Source organism: Homo sapiens, chromosome 5 (genome assembly GCF_000001405.40).
Source record: "Homo sapiens chromosome 5, GRCh38.p14 Primary Assembly".
NCBI classification, from domain to species: Eukaryota; Metazoa; Chordata; class Mammalia; order Primates; family Hominidae; genus Homo; species Homo sapiens.
In genome coordinates this window covers 5,233,209-5,254,448 of record NC_000005.10, presented here as the reverse complement: position 1 = coordinate 5,254,448, position 21,240 = coordinate 5,233,209, and the positions used below count along the sequence as shown (strand labels likewise).

At 42.4% G+C, this 21,240-nt stretch overlaps 1 protein-coding gene across 4 annotated transcripts in view, besides 2 other annotated features; it reads right to left on the bottom strand.

Annotated features, from left to right (window-relative positions):
- Window positions 1-21,240, bottom strand: part of ADAMTS16 (ADAM metallopeptidase with thrombospondin type 1 motif 16) — a 179,975-nt gene that overhangs the window by 65,856 nt on the left and 92,879 nt on the right. For 3 of the 4 annotated variants that reach the window (XM_047416874.1, NM_139056.4, XM_047416875.1), the window contains exons 13-17: window positions 19,263-19,435; window positions 17,350-17,480; window positions 15,175-15,298; window positions 14,524-14,768; window positions 12,258-12,396 (exon numbers count right to left, since the gene is read on the bottom strand). In XM_047416874.1, the coding sequence (XP_047272830.1) occupies window positions 12,258-12,396; window positions 14,524-14,768; window positions 15,175-15,298; window positions 17,350-17,480; window positions 19,263-19,435 (812 nt within the window). The remainder of the gene's footprint in view (window positions 1-12,257; window positions 12,397-14,523; window positions 14,769-15,174; window positions 15,299-17,349; window positions 17,481-19,262; window positions 19,436-21,240) is intronic. The other variant, NR_136935.2, reaches the window with a different exon arrangement.
- Window positions 11,768-12,267: an enhancer, noted in NCBI's record as "H3K4me1 hESC enhancer chr5:5242295-5242794 (GRCh37/hg19 assembly coordinates)". NCBI's record gives its function as "activates a minimal SCP1, AML or CMV promoter by ChIP-STARR-seq in naive H9 embryonic stem cells {active_cell/tissue: H9 hESC(naive)}" and the evidence as "EXISTENCE:reporter gene assay evidence [ECO:0000049][PMID:30033119]".
- Window positions 12,268-12,769: an enhancer, noted in NCBI's record as "H3K4me1 hESC enhancer chr5:5241793-5242294 (GRCh37/hg19 assembly coordinates)". NCBI's record gives its function as "activates a minimal SCP1, AML or CMV promoter by ChIP-STARR-seq in primed H9 embryonic stem cells {active_cell/tissue: H9 hESC(primed)}" and the evidence as "EXISTENCE:reporter gene assay evidence [ECO:0000049][PMID:30033119]".

Below are 21,240 nucleotides of genomic sequence, written 5' to 3'. Positions count from 1 at the left end.
ATTATGGGAAACATTAGAAATATTCCCATTAAGGTCAGAAATAAAAAAAATTATTATAAGTTAAAATTATTTTGGAGATGCTGGCTGACACAATTTGACAAAATTAAAAGAATATAGGGCGCATGAAAGTTATGACAACGGGAAAGCTTATGTGGTATGATTATGTATCTAGGAAGCTCAAGAGAATAGGTGTTAAGATGGATCTGATAACTGATTATTGGAAGTGGGGAAAAGAAAGGACTAGAAACAGGGAGAGCAAGATGAATGATCAGAGATTCTTGGGTAACTTGAAAAAAATCAAGCCTGAATGTAAAAAGCCCAGAGAAGTCTTTGAGGTAACTGGGAAATGACCCCTGTTGCCAAGACAGTGTGAATTCGCTACAATGGGGCAAACCAAGCAAAGGTGCCCTTCAGGCCACCGTAGGTGTAGGACTGACGAGAGAACAGAGATAGAGGCAGAGATTCACGCGAAAAGACACAAGCTCTTTCCTGGGTAGTGATGGTGGGGAAAAGCATTCGATAAACCATCACTCTAAGGGAGAATACAAAGAAAGGAGGGCCCTGATCTTGTTAGACATCCGCATTCATGGGAATAAACAGGTCTTGGAAGTCCAGAGGAAAGAAGTTTCAAGGGAGCAGTGACCAGCTGTCGAAGGCTGCAGGGAGGCCAGGGAGGAAGTGCTGAGAAAGAGCCTGTGGATGTGGTGACCAGGTGGGGTCTGGATTGGAGAATCTTCGAAGATGTGGGTTGCAGAGATGAAACTGAGGCACTAGGGATGAGTTGGTGGTCCCTGGGTGGGAACGCAAGCAGGAAGTGCGGGTTGCATTGATGAAAACCTTGTGAAAGGAAAATAAATCTTGGGACCTCAAAATTACTAAGCTAAAGGGAGAAGTCAAGCTGGGAACTGCTTAGGGCAAACCTGCCTCCCCTTCTGTCAGTCATCCCTCTGAGGCTCACCTGAGACAAACGCATATCTGATTGCTTCCTCACCCCTATTGTTTATGTAAAAATGCAGAAGTGCTGAGCCAGACTAAATAGTGTATTCAGTGGAAGGCTGATCAAGGACACAAAAGAATGCAACCTGTTGTCTTGTATCTACTTGTAACCTGGAAGCTCCCACTCTGAGTTGTCCCGCCTTACCGGACTGTACCAATGTACATCTTACACATATTGATTAATGTCTCATGTCTCCCTAAAAATGTACAAAAGTAAACTGCACCACTGACCACCTTGGACACATGTCTCAGGACTTTCTGAGGCTGTGTCATAGGAGTGTCCTTAATCTTGGCAAAATAAACTTTCTAATTGACCAAGACCTGTCTTAGATATTTTGCATTCACAGGCTTCACACTGAAAAGCAAAGAAGGAAGAAGAGAAGTAGGAGAAAGAAGAGTTTAAGATTATGGAGGCATGAGCACATTTAAGAAAAAGGAATGGTTGGGAAGGAGAGGGAAGAATGACATGGAATGAAAAAGAGGGTATATTTGATGATAAGAAATGTGGATAATGGGATAAAGAGCACCAGTGGAGAATTTCATTTAGAGAGAAGCATCCCCTCTGGGGCAAAAAGACAAGAAAAGATGAGTAACAGGGGACCCTTGAGAGAAGGTGGTGGGAGCAAGCTGATGCTTACATATGGCATGGCCTTTCCTGCATAGGGGGACGGAAACTGCCTGGTGTACACGCAGAGACCTAGGCTGATGGAGACAAAAACATATGGAACCTATTGCAGCATATTCCATCATGGGTTTGGCTTTCAATTTGCTTCTGAGGGTAAAGTTTTGACTTTAATCTATAAAGATCAGTAGGGTTTGGGATTCTGTTAACAGAAATTGTTTTCCTCTTTTTACAAAATTACCATGATTAAAGTCATATGAGGGGGGCGGTCCGCTAATGATCCTCAGGCTTGCATCCTGGGAGTTCTCCAGGGAAGCCCTTGTCTTCAGTTTTCACCCCCATGCACTAAGGCGTCTACACTCACCTTTCAAAGGTCGTAAAGGTGGGCCTTTCCCTATCCCAATCCCTGAAATGCCACTTTAAAATTAACTGCTGCATTCAGTGGAATTATTGTTTTCCTTAAAATGCAGTTTTCCCCCCAGGGCAATCATTTTCTCATTGTGACTTCTGAATGCCAGAGATTCCAGAAATCTCTCTGGGGGCTCCCTGGAGTACAAGCCAAGGACTGGTGAGTGTCCTTTGCACAGGATGTGTTTGGAGAGAAGTCCCCTGGTGAAAACACAATGGAAAGCGACTTTCCTGTGCATTGTAGACACGGGGATGTAGTATTAAAAGCACCGACGGCCAGGCACGGTGGCTCACGCCTGCAATCCCAGCACTTTGGGAGGCCGAGGCGGGCGGATCACGAAGTCAGGAGATCAAGACCATCCTGGCTAACACGGTGAAACCCCGTCTCTACTAAAAATACAAAAAGTAGCCGGGCGTGGTGGCGGCCGCCTGTAGTCCCAGCTACTCGGGAGGCTGCGGCAGGAGAATGGCGGGAACCCGGGAGGTTGCAGTGAGCCGAGGTCGCGCCACTGCACTCCAGCCTGGGTGACAGAGTGAGACTCTGTCTCAAAAAAAAGAAAAAAAAAGCACCGAGTACTTGGCCCCATGCCCAGGGCTTTTGATTCAGTAGGTCTGGGCTGGGGGCCCGAGAATCTGCATTTCTCAGGAGTTCCCAAGTGATGCTGAATCTGCTGGCCTGGGGTCCTACGATGCAGAGAGCATCTCAGTTACTCTTCCACAAGATTTCTGAAACAGTGATCTTACCCCTGGTAGGCACCCAGGTTCATGAAAGTGAAATCAGAATCTTTACAACTCCATCTCCCTTCAGTCTCTGTGCCACAGAAAACTAAAAATCTCTGTGTGTGTGTCACATGCACACATATTTGTAGTCAGGGTTTTCCCAACAGAAAAGGTTTTAGACTTTTAGAAACCACCCCATTTGAAACACTCTCCATAAAAATGAAGCCAATATTTGTAATTTCTAAGGAACTTTCTTTGGAGTATAGAAGCATTATTTGTTTATAGTCTGTTGAAAGTAGGAATAGCACTTGGATATATTCATAATTGCTCAAGAATGTGAGCTGCCACATTAGAAGTGGGCTGTTCATGCTCATACCTAAGGAGAAACTCTCTGCAAATGAAGGATACAGATGACATAGTGACATAGAAAAAGCTGATCACTAGGAAGGTATGCATTTGCAGAGCTGTGCATGGAGGGAGAGACCGAATGGGTGCACCAAGATGCTTACAGTGATGTCTTTCAAGGAGGGGTGTCTCAGGAATGATTTGTGTTCTTTACTTTCCATTTATTTATGACATTCGCAATGAAAAACATGCCCAAAACTTGCAAATTTGAGCCTTCATGAAGGTGGATATCCTGTCTTGCTGACGCCCCGGGCAGGCTTGGCTCAAGGACACTGGGGAGGAGGCCCCGACTGCTCTGAACTTTCTTATCTGCCTACACTCTCTGTCCACCACTGCTATGGCCTCTTCTTCCCCTGACTGCCCCGAGGACTCTGAATCCAAAGGCCTAAAGGGACGAATGGAGGGAGGAAGGAGTCAGGGACTACCAGGCAGCTGACATTTGGTTTTACTTTGATTCATCTTATATATTGTTGACTGACATAGACCACAGAATATCAAACTGGAGAGACCTTAGAAGCCCCTTTAAAACACACATCTCTGTGCCTCTCCAGGAGTGCGCGCACACACACACACACACACACACACACAGAGAGAAGAGACAGACAGGGTGATGAACCAGTTCAAGTACCTTTCTTAGCAGAAGGCAGAATAGAAGTCAGTCCCAAACAGCACCCTCTCCACCACACCATCCATCACACCAGGGTCCTGCTCCTGGGCCTGGGCCCCAACACTCATACCTGAGCTCTCAGGGATCACACAGGTGTCACATGGTTGGGTTACTAAAGAGTAGGTTTGAGTTATGCTTTAAGAAACCATTTTTCATGGTTAATCCAGCACTATTGGGAAACACATGAGATCAGAAGGTCTTTGCTTGGTTGGAGAACCTGAAAATCTGAGGTCATAGGCTGGCCAGGGACATTGAGATTTCTTCTTCCATATCTTTGATTTTGTCCCTTATTTTCTGCATGGCTCCTATCAGAACAGTTCCCCTATAGGATTTCTCCCTAAATCCTCTCTCAAACTCTTGCTTTTCTGTTGTCTATTTGATATGAACAGGAGGCAGGGAAATACTGGGTAGAAGATGGCAGGTTCCTGGTGAGGGCTCCACCCTTAAGCCTGGACCCACAGCGCAAAGTGAGAACTCTTCCTGTTTTCTTGCAAGAATGTTGCCTTTTGGCTCACCTTGCCCCCTATCCTGTGCCCATAAGAACCCCAAACCTCAGACTCAGTGGACACACACATACACGGAAGAGAGAAGCATGTGAACATCGAGAGGAGAAAAGTAGCTGGACATTGGAGACTATGGTTGGAAAGGAGTTCAGCCAGGGATGGTTGGAGAGGAGTTTGGCTGGGGACAGCCAGACTCCAGGGGAAGATTATCTTCCCACTCCACCCCCTTTCCAGTTCCCTTTCCCACTAGAGTCACTTTCACAACTCAGTAAAGTCCTCCATGTTCACCACCCTTCAATTTGTTCCTGTGACATGATTATTCCTGGACGCTGGACAAGAACTCGGGTACCAAGAGGGCAGGGTGTAAAAGGCTGTCACCTGACCCTCCACTGAGCTGGTTAATACTTAGCAGTCTACAAATGCTAAAAGAGCACTGATTGTAACACAGGCCCTCTGGGGCTCCAGGGGTCGCAGACACCCTTTCCTGGATGGCAGAGCTGAGAGAGTATTGTAACACACTTGGATGCTACTGCAGGGCCCGTGCAAAGCCTGCTTCCGCCACGCAGGAGCCACCAGCCAGTTCCAACGTTCATTCACTCTGGTTCCTATACCCATCTGCTTGTGTGCTCCTTCTCATAAGGGATTGAGCAGGGTGGCTGAGTAAACGAGTCACCCCCTTCACGGGTCTCATGCAGGGAGTCAAGGGCACTCTCCCATCTCATGTTCAGAACACCGTGCCAATCCGTGTTTCCATTATCCAGTAATAAGACATCTACTTCTTACATGTCCGCCTCACATGTAGGAAAAACTGCAAGAACTAAAAATTAAGCAAAAGAAACTACACTCCAGTTCTTGCATACTCTGTCTGTTTTCAAAGGGTTTTTCTTGGGTCCTTAATCAGAGACTTTTTATGACAATACACATGTAATTTGCTTGCTCAAGATCTTGGATTAGTCTACTTAGACCTAAAGTATTAAGTTCTTATATTTGACATCAGCACTCCTGGTCCTAGGCCTTCAGGCTCCAGGACTCACAGCATTCTCCTTCAGCCATCACCTCAGACTCAGACTGGAAGACACCTCTCTGGTTATCCTGTTTCTTTAGCTTGCATTCAGTGAATTATGTAAGCCAATCTCTCCCAATCAGTCTCTTTTTCTCTACATAGATAGATGAGCAGATAGACAGATACGTCCTTTTGGTTGTTTCTCTGGAGGACCCTAATATACCAAGCCATATAAACAGTAAGACACAAAAGTGAATTTAAATGTTTATTCCATTGACTAATTCCAAATGTCTGAATATTCTGAGAATGTAAAAATATGTACAGACAGCCATATGTCCACTGGTATTGAGGCTTTCCAAGGTCTATTGTTATACCAGATTTTGGATGATTATGTTTTCAGATGCATCTCACGTGATGGAATGGAGAGCCTCCTTGGCAATTAAGCTCAGATATTACTTCTCCGAACATTTATGGAGACTCAGGTATTATTTCTCTGACTAATGGCACGTCCATGAAGCAACTTCTCAGCAGTACTTACAATCACTTAACTTTGTCAGAAAGAAAAATCACAGAATCTATTTGAATGCCAGAATCACGCAGGCCAATTTTCTAAATGATCTATATTAATAGATAAGAGAAAGGAAGGGCATAAGCTTCAAAAGGTAATGTAAGAAACTTGGAGAGAACAATCCATTAGCTGTGGAAAGACAAACCCTGCCCATGGGGTGGTGAGTTTGATGAGCAATGTGCTTGGGCGCTGCTTTCATCTTTTTTCAGAAACCAACTCTGGCCAGGTCTTTGGAAACCGCTTAAAAATCCTCATGTTTGCCAGGCTGTCTAGAAGAAGAGTCTTAAGTCTGAAAGATCATGATTTCATCAAAAAATTGCTGACTTTTCCATAATGTGAACTATAGAATGAATTCCAGCTGTTGCCAAAAGCTTTATCCTCCTTTTATAAAGAAAAAGAAAAAAAATCAAACGAATTCTGTAAGCAAAATTACATGGAAAACCAGACGGTGTTCCATAAATGAACGCATGAGCTCTCAAAAGAAGCATGCATTGTTTCTATCACATGTGCTAGATATATTATTGATGCCTCATGCATGCGCATTACAGGACCTTGAACTCGGAAGAGGGAAGATAGCTCAAAGGTGTATTCCTGGATGCAGTCCAAATTCTGAATGGTTCCCAGTGTATTTAAGTGACAGGCTGGCCCTGCACAATTGCTGTGGACACATGTTATCCCAACATTTACTAGAGCTTGGAGGCTGAGGCACCTTCACATGTCTTACCAGAGGCAGATTCCCTGCTTCACAGGGGCTGGCTTCACTAGCTGATTTCCCTGACAGCCTTGACTTGTCAATGGCAAAGGGAAATGCAGCCCATCTGGATATAGGCAGTAATCGCCCATTTTTAGGGCTCCAAATTTGCAGACGTTAAGACCTGTGGGTACAAGTGACCTGCACAGCGAAGGTGGAGAAGAACAGGCCATGGCCACGTAGTGGGAACGTGGGAGGGACCCCGGCACCCCTGATGAGTGGAGGCTTGCTGGAACTGCACAGACTCTGGGAATGGGAAAGAATTCCTGCTTTTTGGGAAGATGTGGGCTTCCTTGTTTTACCCTGGACCTCTGAGCACACTTGATGAAATGGGCCTGGGTGACATCACACAGCCCAGGCCCCTGAGGAATACACCCCACTCTCTGGGAAACAAACCTTTGTTTTTCTCTCTGCTTTTTTGGGAAGAAAGGGGTTGGGATCGGGGGGCGGGGGGGTAATATATTTTGTAATTTATAGGGACTTAGATAAAGAATAAAGAACGGGAGACGTTTTTAGTAGATCAGCTCAAAGGTGACCAAAGGCAGGGAAGAAGAAACCAGAATCATTTCAAGTTGAACTCTGGGACCCAACCCTTTAGCTGAAGTTTAAAAGAGAAAGAGACACACCCACTCTGGGATTCAGAACATTCTAGCACACAAAGTGAGGATGGGGAAGATCTCATTTGAAGCAGTTCCTGTGAAAAAGATGGAGAAATGTTAGCCAATCAGATGAGCAGTAGGAACCAAAGCCCACTGCTGCTCTTTAAAGCCATCCCAGCAATGGAACTCAGAGGAAGACAGGCGTCCCAACTGCAGCTGAGCTGAGACTCTTCCTGCCCACAGGCCTGGAGATCTCTCTGAATTCTCACAGTTCTTGGAACACAACGCAGTCTATCATCTTGCATTGTCACACATGGGCATATGGGTAACTCCTTGCTCCAGACTGCAAATGATTTGGAGGACAGGGCCAAGTATATACCATCTGTCCTTATACACTCCGAACTCAGCATAGCGGCTCGCACATTTAAGAAAAAATCACTGGATCGAAGTACTCGATTCCCCGATTAAGATGCACAAATGTACAATACCTCAACTAGCTATGACACTAAAGAGGCACTAAATAGTTTTCATGTAAAGCAACACCGACTTTGGCATTTCATTGCTCAATTCAGATAGAGAAGAAATCAAGCAAAAGTCTCTTGTATTTCCTCAGGTGGCTTTAAGATGTTTAAGGTTCAGATCCAAACACCCAAGCATATGCTGACTGATGATGAATGAATGAATGGATAAATGGATGGTTTGATATCAGCAAAGTAAGGCAAGTTTGCAAGCGATTTCAATCATTTTTTTCAAACCTAATCCCTAAATGAATTAAACCTTAAGCCCTAGAAATATCTGTGGATGGTGAAGAGAATATTATTGAAAAAAATGTAAGAGAGGATGGTTTTCAAGCCAGTTTAAGATTTGTCTGAGAAATTTTTGCTGTGAATTGGATGAATATTTCCATTTGAATAAAAACACATCATCCCCAGACATTACAGCATACATGTTGGACAATTTAAGACACAGGTCAAATTTTAATAAGTATTTTTATTTGGAAATAAGTCAGAGGTTGAAGATTAGTGATTTGGAATACATTGGGCCAAGTGAATTGTAGATACTGACTTTAAAAGATGACAGCGTATATAATTTTGAGAAAAAACTGATGTTTTGACAAGGTAAACAAAAGTCTAGTGAAGTCATTACCACACCAAAAAGTCTCTGTCTCAGAGACAGACACAATAAGATAAACTGGTTCTGGGCAATATTCTTGGCATGCTGTTTCCCTATTTGAGTTTTATGTCCCATTACCAATGCCCCAGATGCTCACTGAGAGTCCAGTTAGAGCATGACGAAGCAGGAACATTGAAATTAAAAAATGCAGTTATGTCATAAAAGTGAGAGGAGAGAAAAAAGAAACTGTCAAAAGGGAAGAAGAAGCTGTCAAAAGGGAGATAAAAGGCATTACCTGGCTGTGTGAAAACCTTATTTCCTACAGAGAGATGGGCCCATTGTAAGAGATAAGGAAATGAGATCTCTTTAAATCAAAAAGATTTATCCGTCCTCTTTTGATGCAAAGTAATGTTTCTGGAATGAAGCAAGAGGTGGGAGAAATTTTCCAGCTGTCTTCTTCCCATTCATGAATTCCATAACTGCCCCTCGTAGACCCTTAAATTCTCAAAGAGAGAGCTAAGAAAAAGATGATTTAAACGTTTCAAATTCAGAACATCAGGAGGTCTATGCAAGTAGAAGTCTTAAAAATTATACAATATGCAGATAAGAGGAAAATACCATCTATACTTTCCCTTTTCCTTTGGGAATCAGGTCAAGAATTTTCAGGTGATGCATTGACCTCACCCTCTAAGAAATGAGAACAATAATCAAAGGTTATTGCTCATTGGCAAAGTTAATTATTATCTCACAAAATTGAAAAACTGAGAATGAGATTCATTTTGGATTTTCACCCTCCAATATCAATCATCCAAGCAGTTAAAACATGCTATTGTCAGATACCACATAATTTAAATCATCTGATTTAACTTTTGAAATTTAGAAGCCTCCAATGGGATACACCTAATGAAGCATTTAATAAACTTAAAGTAATTGAGGATTTAGTTCCAAAGGATCTATGTCATCGGATAGCATCAAATCCTGAAACTCCTAAAGTTTACAAGGCAGAGACAGTAAATTCTGAAAAAGTGCTTAATCAAAATAACCACTTAAAATTGAGTAATGAGATCTTGGGAAATAAAAGCCCTTATCTCAGAAGCAGTCACTGTAATTAACATTCAGTGAATAACTATCTTAGTTAAGACTATTGGGGGAAATTTGACAAGTCCTCCAAACATAGATCAAGGGAAAATTGAATACCAGAACTGAAGAAGATCAGCCTTCACCCTGAATGGCCATGAAACATGAGCACCGCCTACGTGTAAGGTCGTCTCCTCATTGCTGATATTTCAATCTTATGTTCAATGGACTGCAACGCCCATTGCCAGGTAGAAGCTGTATTATGAAAGGAAGACAGGAAGTTCGAAGAACACGTTGTGCTTCCCTGGCAGAATAATCTTTGTTAAAGAATGTGAACATCAGTAATGTGCTAAGTTGCAGTTTGGCTGTGGTGGGGTGACATAAGAATGGGAGTCAGTAAACCTGTTTGAACCAAGTTACCTGTAACCTCTGAGATGATAATAAGGATTGCTTCCAGGCATTGGTATTCATACAATCTTTAAACTTCACAGACATGAAAGGCTTGTTCAAAATTTCTAAGGAGCATGGCCTGATGAAGCCAAGACTTGAATCTGATATGGCTGCCTCAAACCTGTGGTCTTTCTACCCTTACCCTGTCGAAGGTTTTGACAAGATAATATATGTGAAAGCACATAGTAGGTGCTCAATACATGGCAATAACGTGCTTCTTGCTTTCATCTTGCTTCTATAGAAAGTAATTCTGGGGATACTAGGGAAGGAAAGAGAGAGAACAGGAGAGAAAGGCTGTGGTTTTATCCATCTACGAAAACAGAGGAGGATCGACTATAGTTCAAACCCTGCAGGATACCATTTGCAAGTGTTCCCCTTCCTAATGATACACACATGGGCAGTGACAGCATGCCTTGATTAGGTTCTGAGTCTTCTGTCCTATGAAGAGGTCAGGTTTTTACAAGGAAGGCTGCAGAGCATTATCCTACAGAATGTGGGAAATACAGACATCCTGTACTCCATCCCGCTGTTGAATTGAGAATCCCCGTTTTCCACTGAAATTAAAAACAAACAGAACTCACTAGCTCTATAATGCAGCTCTTTAGAAAAGTGATTTGGGAATGGATTTTGGGTTGATTTCCCCCAGAAACTCTCAATTATTCCTTAGGGATAGTTAGGTGACTTGCAAATACACTAATCATCCATTCAGTGTTTCAGGATACTGAAACAACTAGCCTGTTAGCAGCTGAGAACACTGAGTTCCCCTGAATGCTTGATGCTCAAAGGAAAGACACCAGTGAATCTGGTATATTGAAACAGAATCATCGACTGGCCATTCTCTACAGATGTTTCCATGGAATTCATTATACATTTTTTACCAAATGAAAATGTACAAGAAAGAGTTCAAAAATTCATACTTTCCTTAAACAAATATGAAGTTTTCTGATTCTATTATTATCCTAACCAACTACTATTTATTAGAAGATCCTAAATAGGGAGAGGTAAAATCAAGTGCATTCAACATAATCCATAAAAACATGGTTATGGTTTTAAGATCAGAGGGAAAAGAAAGGAAAAATACATATGGTTAGGAATGTCCCACGTCACACAGAGAGAAGAGCATACAATGTCCTTCTGTTCCACTGCTTTCTAAATAAAGTAAACTGGTGGCTGACTTGGGCCATATCACTAGTGTGAGATTTCCTTCATATTTCTCTCTGGTCACTATTAGAGCAACATGCTTGCTATCCTTCTGTGCAGAAGGTAGTCATGTTTTTCCTAAGACAGTATTTCATTCAGTCATTAGCTTTACCAGCATCCATAATTTAACTATTTCATCCTTAGTTCATACTGGGAAGAATGAACATATGTCAAGCACATAGTGTTAACTTTTAGGACTATTTAAACTTTTTGTTAATCTTTCAGTTTTCCTTTAGTTTCTTCACCTTATTTATTTAGAGCAACTATTGAGAACATGTAAATTTATTTTTATTTATTTTTGTTCATTCACTACCTTCTTAACTTTATGCCAGTTCTCATTTATGAACCATTTTCTTTTACTTAAACATAATATTGTCTAAATTAACTTCTTAGTTATGAAAACCTAGATTGCATAAAGCTGAAATCCATTTGGCCAGATGGAAACTTGTGTATTTTATACATATCAGATAGAATTTACTATGTTGTTTTAAACTTGCAAATATTTACTCATCACTGTTTATATCAGACAGTCAGTACATATTGGCTCTGGCTAAAAACTTCCTTTAAGTGGAAGTAGCTTTACCGATATAAATGTGAGCTTCCATTGTTTACAGTATGAAGGCGACAAGGCACTCAATTGACATGTGCAGTTCTTTTTGACATGTTTTTTTCTTGATGTTTTCATTGGAACTTTCAAAATATTCTTTTATTTTCTGGACAAATCTGACTATCTGACTTGCAGGCAAAGCTCTTTCCAGGAAACGTTTTGAACAAGATTAGTTAGATTAAAAAACCCACTCTAGGTCAGTGTATTTTCCATGGTAGTGTCTGTTTCTCACCGTCAACATGATGTATCTCATAATTACCGTGACTTTCATTTGACTCATCTCAATTAACAAAATCATCCTCTAAAAAACCTTAAATTAGATGGAAAGTAGGAAGCAATGCATCTACTGACTTCCTCAGAGTCACACACTGAAGCAGATAGACTGGAGAAGGCAGCTCGGGCCGACAAGTGACACTCAGGACCACCACTCCCCACCTTGGGAATGTCACTGCTACTGGCAGGGAGAAGCCCCGGGCTGCTCATTAGGATTCAAGAAAGGCCAGTGCAATGTACGCAGTGGCTGAAGGCTGACATGCTGCCTCCAGGAGCAGCACTGGAAGGCACCTACCCCCTCCGCAGGACACGGAGCACTCAGAGCGCACGATGGCCCAAGTGTAGCTGGGCTGGGCAGGGGGCTGCTTCTCGGTCCCCAAGCGAGGCATGGAGTATTCCCAGGCAACACCCGGGTTCCTTCCCTGAAACAGCAGCTACAAAATAAGAAAGGGGAAAAAATAAAACAAATTAATGCAAAACCAGCAAGTACATGCTAACGGGATTTAGACTACTTAAAACAATAATCAATCAACAAGAAGTTTGTTATGATGATAAAATACATTCAGACTATCATCCAAACTTTACATAAAATTTCTGAACCCTCCCATCTAGATTCAAGCTCATCTAAAAAAATGTCTAGACTGTACCTTCTCCTTACAGTTAGTGTATGCCCGCATGTAAAACTTCAAACACTTTTGCAACTTAGAAAAAGCATTTCTAAGTTATCATTTTTTATTGATACATAACAGATACACATATTTTGGGGGTATATGTGATAATCTGATACATCCTAACAAAAGCATTTGGCTATCTCATTGGTGTTTCTTTGGGATCCCCTGCATCTGAGCAAATCCCTGCATCTGAGGGATCCCCTGCAAATCCCTGCATCTGAGCAAATCAGAAAGAGATACCTACAAAGCATCGTCATGCTTCCTGGTGAATTCAAATAACGCAGGACACTTCAACAGCAATAGGTATGATCCATGCCTGACCAAAGTTAAGTTAGAGCACTTTCTATGGGGAGAGATGAAGGGGACTTTTGCCTACGGGCAGGTACCCATTAAGTCCGCAGGAAAAGGTGTTTTATTAGTAAAGAAGATCACTGAGTCATAGTTTAGGGCATGGAATGGGTTTGGACTCTACATTTCCTAGCTTGAAACCCAATCATATGGACCAGCCACCATTTCTCTCATAAATGTATTAGATCCTTGAATCTTAGTTGGAAGACTTTTCTGGAAAACTCACCATAACCTGTTGACATAAATCCCATGCCTGCACCTGACAGGCATTGCATGCTGATATGATGCCCATGTAGAAAAAGATCCTCACCCTCCCCTGAGTGTCCTGGCCCCATGCTCCACCCTCTGCTTGATGACACAGCTCCAGTCTCAGTGGTGCTGATGTTGTGGGACAGGTATAAGCCCAGGACAGGGGGTTGCACTGCAAGGCCATTGAGATACTCTCCAGCCCTGACATTCTGAGGCTCTGCAACTCTTCTTCCGTGGAGAACAGTTTCCTAACAAGCCCCACTTATTTTCAACCCGGAGGCATCTTTCTCTCTGATTGTTAAAGCTAAAAGCCTTAGATGGTGGGAGACGTGATCAAGGAAAGATCATGGAAAGAATTCAAGATAAATTGATCAAGGAAAGAATTCAAGATAAATTTGTTTATAAAGGGATAGGATGAAAGAGTTCAGGGGCAGGACAGGAGATGGAAGTAGGACCTGTGGAGATGCAGCAGCTGCTCCATCTAAACCACACCCCGAATGCCTGGGGAGGCATCTCCCAGGAAGACGCAAGAGGATGGGATAGGGCGGCCTGTCCCAGGGAACAGGTGGGGGTATCCAGGTGGCTGTACCTCCACAGCAAGGTGTAGGTGGATGGGGCAACTTTTGAACCAAGAACCTTCTTTCAACTGTGCACAGAAACATAACAAGGTGGGGAGTTAGAACATCCACTGCCCACCACTGCCATCTGCACAGTCGCATGCGAGGATGGTGTTGTCAGAATCTGACTATATTTTGTGAGCCTCTGCATTCATGAGTAAACAGAACTGCTCGGTTCAGGGGGTGACCCCCGCACTGGACACTGGGTTGATGTGACTGCGGAGCTGTGGCCCGCCAAGGTCAATGCTGTGACACAGGTAGGTCATCACACAGCAAGGGGCTTCACCTCTGGGCTCTCCTCTCCTATTGCCACAGAACGCAGCAGAAATGCTGATCCCACCCCAGACACAGGCGAAGTCAGACCCCACCTCCCTCCCCCAAGAGTGGCCGCATCTCACAGCCATCGAGCTTACAGGACAGAAGAAGACTTCTGCAAACACCTACTGCTAAAACCCCCAAATGGGAACACAGGTGAGCACTTAAATACAAACGTAATCATACACCAAAAAGTGAATGATGATAAAAACAAGCCTGCTGCCTCATTCCGGCTATGGATGGATCACTCTTTTTATAACTGTTTACATTCTTCTTAAAATTATGCCAACAGCCATTAACTTACACAGACACCAGAACACCCCCAAAATCCAAGCCCCAAAATCAAGAGGCTGGACTTTACCTCCACAATCAGTGTCTCGTTGGTTGGTCCAGTAGCGATTAAGTTCTCGGGCTCATTATAGGACCGTCTGTAGTCGAAAGTAGTGCCCGAAAATTTGTACCGGCCGGGCCAGTCCACGGTCCAGTGCCCATTCAGGTAGTACCTTCTGAGGGCATTGCGCACAGAAATGTAGGAGGTAGAGACGTTCATTTCATAGATGCGGATACTCCGGGCTCCAGAAGGAATGGTGACCATGTGATAATACTCTAGATAAAGGAAATGGGGAAGATACAGCTTTTCATTCCAGAAAGCAGGGGCAAAATCTCTAAGCAACCCCAGTCCTCGGTAAACAAAACCTGAGAATCCACATTTGGAACTGGGTGAAGACGTGTTCTGGTGATCAGTTGCCTTAGAACTACACCCGGCTGCTTTTTATCAATTGGAGCAGAGCCCCTGTGATGGTCACTTTTCCTAAGAACAATTTTATTGCAAATAACTCAGCAACCACTTCCAATCAAAGCAAGAGGCTCGAGAAGCAAAGCGCCAGCTGAGGCAGGAAGCGAGGCAGCGGAAGGAAGTCCTGCTGTTTTCACTGTCACCTCAAGCTCTGCTAAGAAGCCCCAGTTACAATCTTCTTTGCCCAAGGCTTGCAGGCAGCTCTAAAGTACTCACGGTTGGTGTGGTGGTGCTTGGTGTAGAGACCCCTGTGAATCGTGCAGGCTGAGTTATTCCCGTTACACACCCCACAGACGTCTTCAACAGCATCAGATCCAAGGACATTGTCACATCCAACTCTCTGGAGGGCCCATGAGGTCACATGTCATTCATGAAAGAAAGGACAACACAGCAATACTGTCACCAATCTCATGCAAGAAACCTCCTCCCCACTAGAGTTGAAAATTTCACCAACATAGGGTAGTTAACAAATATTTATTGGATACCTAATATGTGCACAGCGGGGCTACAGTGTTACCCTTCAAAAATGTAGGAAGCTTTTAAACCGTGAACCGTAACCTGTCCTCTTTAGTATTGTTACACAAGTGGCCCCAAATTAAACCTGTAGGTTGTCATGTTGGAGCGATGGGTGAATTTCACACTGACCTAAAGGGCTTAGTACAATGACAAGCAATGTGTCTACACAAGGTTCTAACAAAATATGCCATTGTGGGCTTTAATTGTCTCATGCAATGACAGAGAAGGAGCAGATGACACACAGAAATTCTCCTCAGTAGTAATTACATAAAGGGCATGTTTATTCACTTCCTTAGAATTTTAGGAGCTCTTTAAAATTACTCTGATGTTTGTTTGTATTACACTTTCTAACAAAGAGAATAGGCTCTATATGTACAAAAAAAATCCATTCAGAAGCAAAATAACTACAATTCTTGGCTTGAAATCCATAGGGCCAGATGTATTTCACAACTTACAGTGTTTTTTAATTTTATAAAGGTAATAGATACTACCTTTCTAAAATTAAAATTTTAGACCTATGTCTAAAAGGTGACGTATGAAATGCATATGAGAATCCCACAAGGGCTTAGGGTGGCATCCCATAATTAACTAATTAATGTTTCTATAGTAAAACCCTACAGATTTACAGTAAGTGAGATAAATAAAACCAATCAGTAGTCTCACATCAGTTCAGGGCAGGCTTTGCCACCAAACAAATTCAGGTCCCCCACATTTTCACAGGTTTTTGGATTTCAGAGTTACAAATAAGGGATTATGACACTATATCATTAAGAATACCAAAATACAATAAAATAGTGAACACATCAATTAACAATTAGACAAAATTGAGGACTGTACAGCTGAGGTACAATGAAAGAGATCTTAATGGAATCATCCAGCCTAACCCTCATGTATTCAAAATGATTACACTAAGGATCTCAGTGGATGATTCAACTTTACCATGGTCAATAATTTAGGGGAAGCGAGAACTAGAAAAGATGTTTTTGGACTCCGTAGGATATGCAGATTGAAAAACTTCTTCATTTGAAACCCCATTGTCTACATGCAATGTGTTTGATCTGCTAACACCTTCACTTGGTTTATGATAACATTTTTTTCCACCCCTTCCCTCTGCCAATCAGGGTAAGGGTAACATCAGTCACTTAAGTTCCTTTAGCCACCAACACTTCCCCAGCTTGTCTCCTGCATCCCTGTCTGCCCGCCCTCCTCAGTGAAAGTGTAGCTGCTCTATGTTGCTGAGGCCTCTGTCCGAGCTGCGAAGTGGCCCAGGCTCTCACCCACCCCTGCTTCACTGACTCTCCACACTACTGCCCACAAACCGCAACCAAATCCTGTGGCTCCACTGTTCCCAGACTCAATGCCTGCTCTATCTACATGGACACAGGATAAAAATCCCAACTCCTTATCCAGCCTTGGAGTCGGCCTTGGAGACCCTCTTCTTACCCCAACCCTTCCCACAGCATCCCCCAGTCCCCCACTTTCCCTCTGGGCGTTCTGATGACTGAATCAGTGGCTAGCAACCCATGCATCTGGCACCACCACGTCCCCTCTCTATTTTCCTGACATCCCTCTTCCAACTCACCCTTTCAGATCTAGCTTGGATGTGGATGTTCCCTTCTCCTAGGAGCCCCACGAATGTCCCAGACCCATATCTAAGACAGAACGGGCCCCTCCCTCTCCTTATGCTCTGCACACACTTCCACTGCAGCAAAGCAGCATGTCATCAATGTGTTCTTCTGGCTTTCTCCCCACTGGGCTGCAACTTAGAGGGAAAGGCTTGTCTCATATGTCCAGTCTTTCTAGCCTCTACAGGATGCTTGACACAAAGCAGACTGTCCGGAATCATTTGTTGAATGAATGAAGGATCATGATTACCTCACATATCCCATCTATACAAACATTACGGCTATCCTCCGAGCATGGAGTCCCATCTTTGACTTTATTTGACAAAGAAAAGAAGAAATCAAATCCTTCTGCGATACAGTAGAGTTTGCATAAGTCCTGATCTTAAAAAGAAATACACACACAAACACAAATAAGAAAAATACTTAAGCTCTGATCATTTTTGCTCTGAATTTTAGATAGACTTTCTTTCTTCCCCCATAAAATAACTCCCACACAATAATACATTACAATGGCATTTTTAATGGTTGCCTCATTATGTTTTGTTTTGTTTCTTTAAATTTATTTATTGCTTCAATGTTAAATTTTACTCTACAGTGTCCTTTAAGACCTTTGATTTTTATACAGTGTTTGGCACATAGTAGGCATTCAATAAATATTTGTTGGCTACAACATTAATGCTTTACTATTTCACTAGTATCATTAACTACTATCTTGTAGAAATCCAAAAAAAAAAACTGCCATTTTGTAGTAACACACAAAATTCTTACAGATAAAATGTAATAAAAGAATCAAAAACATCACTGAATTTCTTAACGCATTTGGTAAAATACATAAAAATTAAACTAATAAAAGGAATAACTTAGATGAAGTCTCGAGAACAATGTTTTCCACAAATACAATAAACTGTTTTAAAATATTGGTACCTAGAGAAATAGGAAGTTTACTTCCTTCCTAAATAATCCATTTCAAGGTTTTTGGTTTATATTTAATATGAACTTTTTTTCAAACCATTTTGCCCCTTTTGTTCTCTTCTTGGTAAAAAAAAAAGGGGAGGGACAATTAATGATGAAAATTTCATCTGTCTTAGAAATTTTTATAGGCCTGAGACTCATCTACAGATATTTTCCTTATCATTCAAGATAAGAGGCCCAACTGAATAATTCTAAGAATCAAATTTAGTGTGTGCGTCCATGATTACTGTGTGCTTCCATGATTAATGAGCTTATTCACTGAAGATTGGCAGTCAGGAGGAATACACACACATTTTTGAACCACGGTTTCAAAGTTCATTCTACCTTTCTCTCCTCCCTAGTGGCCTGTATCATACTGGCTACATTTGTACAGATTTAGGAGTAAAGGGACAACCAAACATGCTTCCGGGAAATTGCTTGTAATTTCCTTTCAGAATTTTCTAACTGCATGAACCTGACACTGTGAAAACACTGTATGCACTGAGATGATGAATGGGAATGTCAGATGGGACGTCCCACTTATGTACATCCAAAGGGCTTCTGTCATTTTTTCGGGCAATGTTCCCAGTTTCAAGCAATGAGATGATTAGGTTTTCTTTGAATTTCTCCTTAATTATGCCACTTGAGCTACTGACTTTAAGTTATTTTAATCATGAAAACAACACTTATTTCTTTCCCACTGGGGAGTAAAGTCTTATACATGCCACAAATAAACTTCTTGGTGTATAGTTATAGATCAAGACTTTCTGAACATACTATGCTTCAAAATTGTTCCATTTTCTAAAATATACTGAAATTTCTTTTTCATTCTTTGACAATTATAAGTATTCAATGGGTAACTTGCTTATAGCAACAACTACTGTAATTCTTAATTCAAAAACATACTGATTCAATTTCCATGCAGGATCTACTTTGTGTTTTTTATCACTTCTTTGATGAGTTTCATTGTATTATGCACACGCTTTCTATCTGGTGTGTTGATTTCTGACCTCACCGCTGGTGAAGTTTAGATAAGAGGTCGTGATGGTGGGGCTGGCAAAATAAAACTAACCTCCAGAAGAGAATATGCGACCCTCACCTCCCAGAGCGACGTCTGGTTTATTTGTGCACCACACTCTCAATCATGTACTTCTTTAAAAAGTAAAGGTAGTAAAGCATGAGGCTATTACCCGAAAGCAGTTTGAGATTTACCTTCTACTTGAGTGTAAGGCTTCCACTTGTAGTGCCGCCCTCTGAATCGTCTGCTGTTGTGCTCGGCACACTGAGCAGCACGGAAGTCAACACTGTCCCGGGGACATTTCTGACTGTTGCAGAGCTTCAGAGTGCGAGTGGAGCCCTCACAGAACTTCCCTCCATGCGATGGCCTGGAATGTGTATTTTGAAGTTAGAATTTTTATATTTTAGTAGCTACTAAATTCTTTAAAATTAGGCTTATTGGAGAGATGAAGCTAAGAGTGTTAGAATGGGTAATTAGGAAAAAAGTGGATTCTTTTTTTTTTTTTTTTTTTGAGATGGAGTCTCGCTCTGTCACCCAGGCTGGAGTGTAGTAGTGTGATCTCGGCTCGCTGCAACCGCTGTCTCCTGGGTTCAAGTGATTCTCCTGCCTCAGCCTCTCGAGTAGCTGGGACTATAGGCACACGCCACCACACCCAGCTAATTTTTGTATTTTTAGTAAAGACGAGGTTTCACCATGTTGGCTAGGATGGTCTTGATCTCTTGACCCTGTTGTCCGTGCACCTCAACCTCCCAAAGTACTGGGATTACAGGTAGAAGCCACCACGCCCAGCTGGAAAAGTGGATTTCTAAGTGGTCTAGAACACATTCTTACACACGAATGGTAAGGTTGCACTCCCTTTTCTATTGAGTGAATCCTTTACAAGAGCAGCAGGGCAGGCTGGCCTGTCTTTGCTCCTCTCTGGGCCCAGTGCCTCTGCAGTGGTGAGGCAGGGTGGGCAGGGCTGTCCTCACCCTGCACAGGGAGGGGCTGATTGAGGAGGACCACACTTTCCCAGGATAGCACATTTGAGAGAATGTGGAACTCAGAGGGAAGTTCAATGACTTTGCTTTCAAGACCAAAATTTCTTTCCACCACCAGTCTTCTGGTGACAAGGCCAGGACCCAAAGACCAAGACTAAAGAACCAGTCACCTTTGCTGGTTGGCACTGACAGCTCACCCCAGAGAATTTGCATGTACACACTGGTAATGCGGGCAGCGCAAGGGGTACAGCGTGGCGTAGGGGGTGAGGTGAGCTCATGCTTTAAAGATGGGACTGAAACAACAAGCCAAGTGACACATCTTAAACAAGCTTAAGGGCAAAGGGAGATGTGAAAAACACCAGTCAGAATGGCTACTATTAAAATGCTAAAAGATAACAGGTGCTGGCGAGGTTATGGAGGAAAAGGAACACTTATACACTTTGGTAGGAGTGTAAGTTAATTCAACCATTGTGGAAGACAGTGTGGCAATTACTCAAAAACCTACAAAAAGAAATATCATTTGACCCAGCAATCCCATTACTGAGTATATATCCAAAGGAATATAAATCATTCTACCATAAAGACACACGCACATGAATGTTCATTGTGCAGCACCTTCACAATAGCGAAGACATGGAGTCAACCTAAACGCCCATCAATGTTAGACCAGATAATGAAAATGTGGTACATACACACCATGGAATACCATGCAGCCATAAAAAAGGAAGAGATCATGTTGTTTGCAGGAACATGGATGGAGCCTGGAGACCTTTATCCTTAATAAGCTAACGCAGGGACAGAAAACCAAATACCGCATGTTCTCACTTATAAGTGAGAGCTGAATGATGAGAACACATGGACATATAAAGGGAAACAATACACACTGTGGCCTGTTGGAAGGTGGAGGGTGGGAGGAAGGAGAGGACTGCAAAAAATAACTAATGAATACTAGGTTTAATACCTGGGCGATGAAATAATCTGCACAACACACACCCGTGACACAAGTTTGCTTATGTAACAAACCTATACTCTACCCCTGAACTTGAAATAAAAGTTAAATTTAAAAAATTAAAAATTAAAGCCTCTTCACTTCCGCACACTGGTGATGCTTCTCACATTCATTCTTACTTCTTACAGAAGCTGGCAGTTAAACCTCCTGTTGTGAAGGTAAATATATTTGATGGAAAACCCC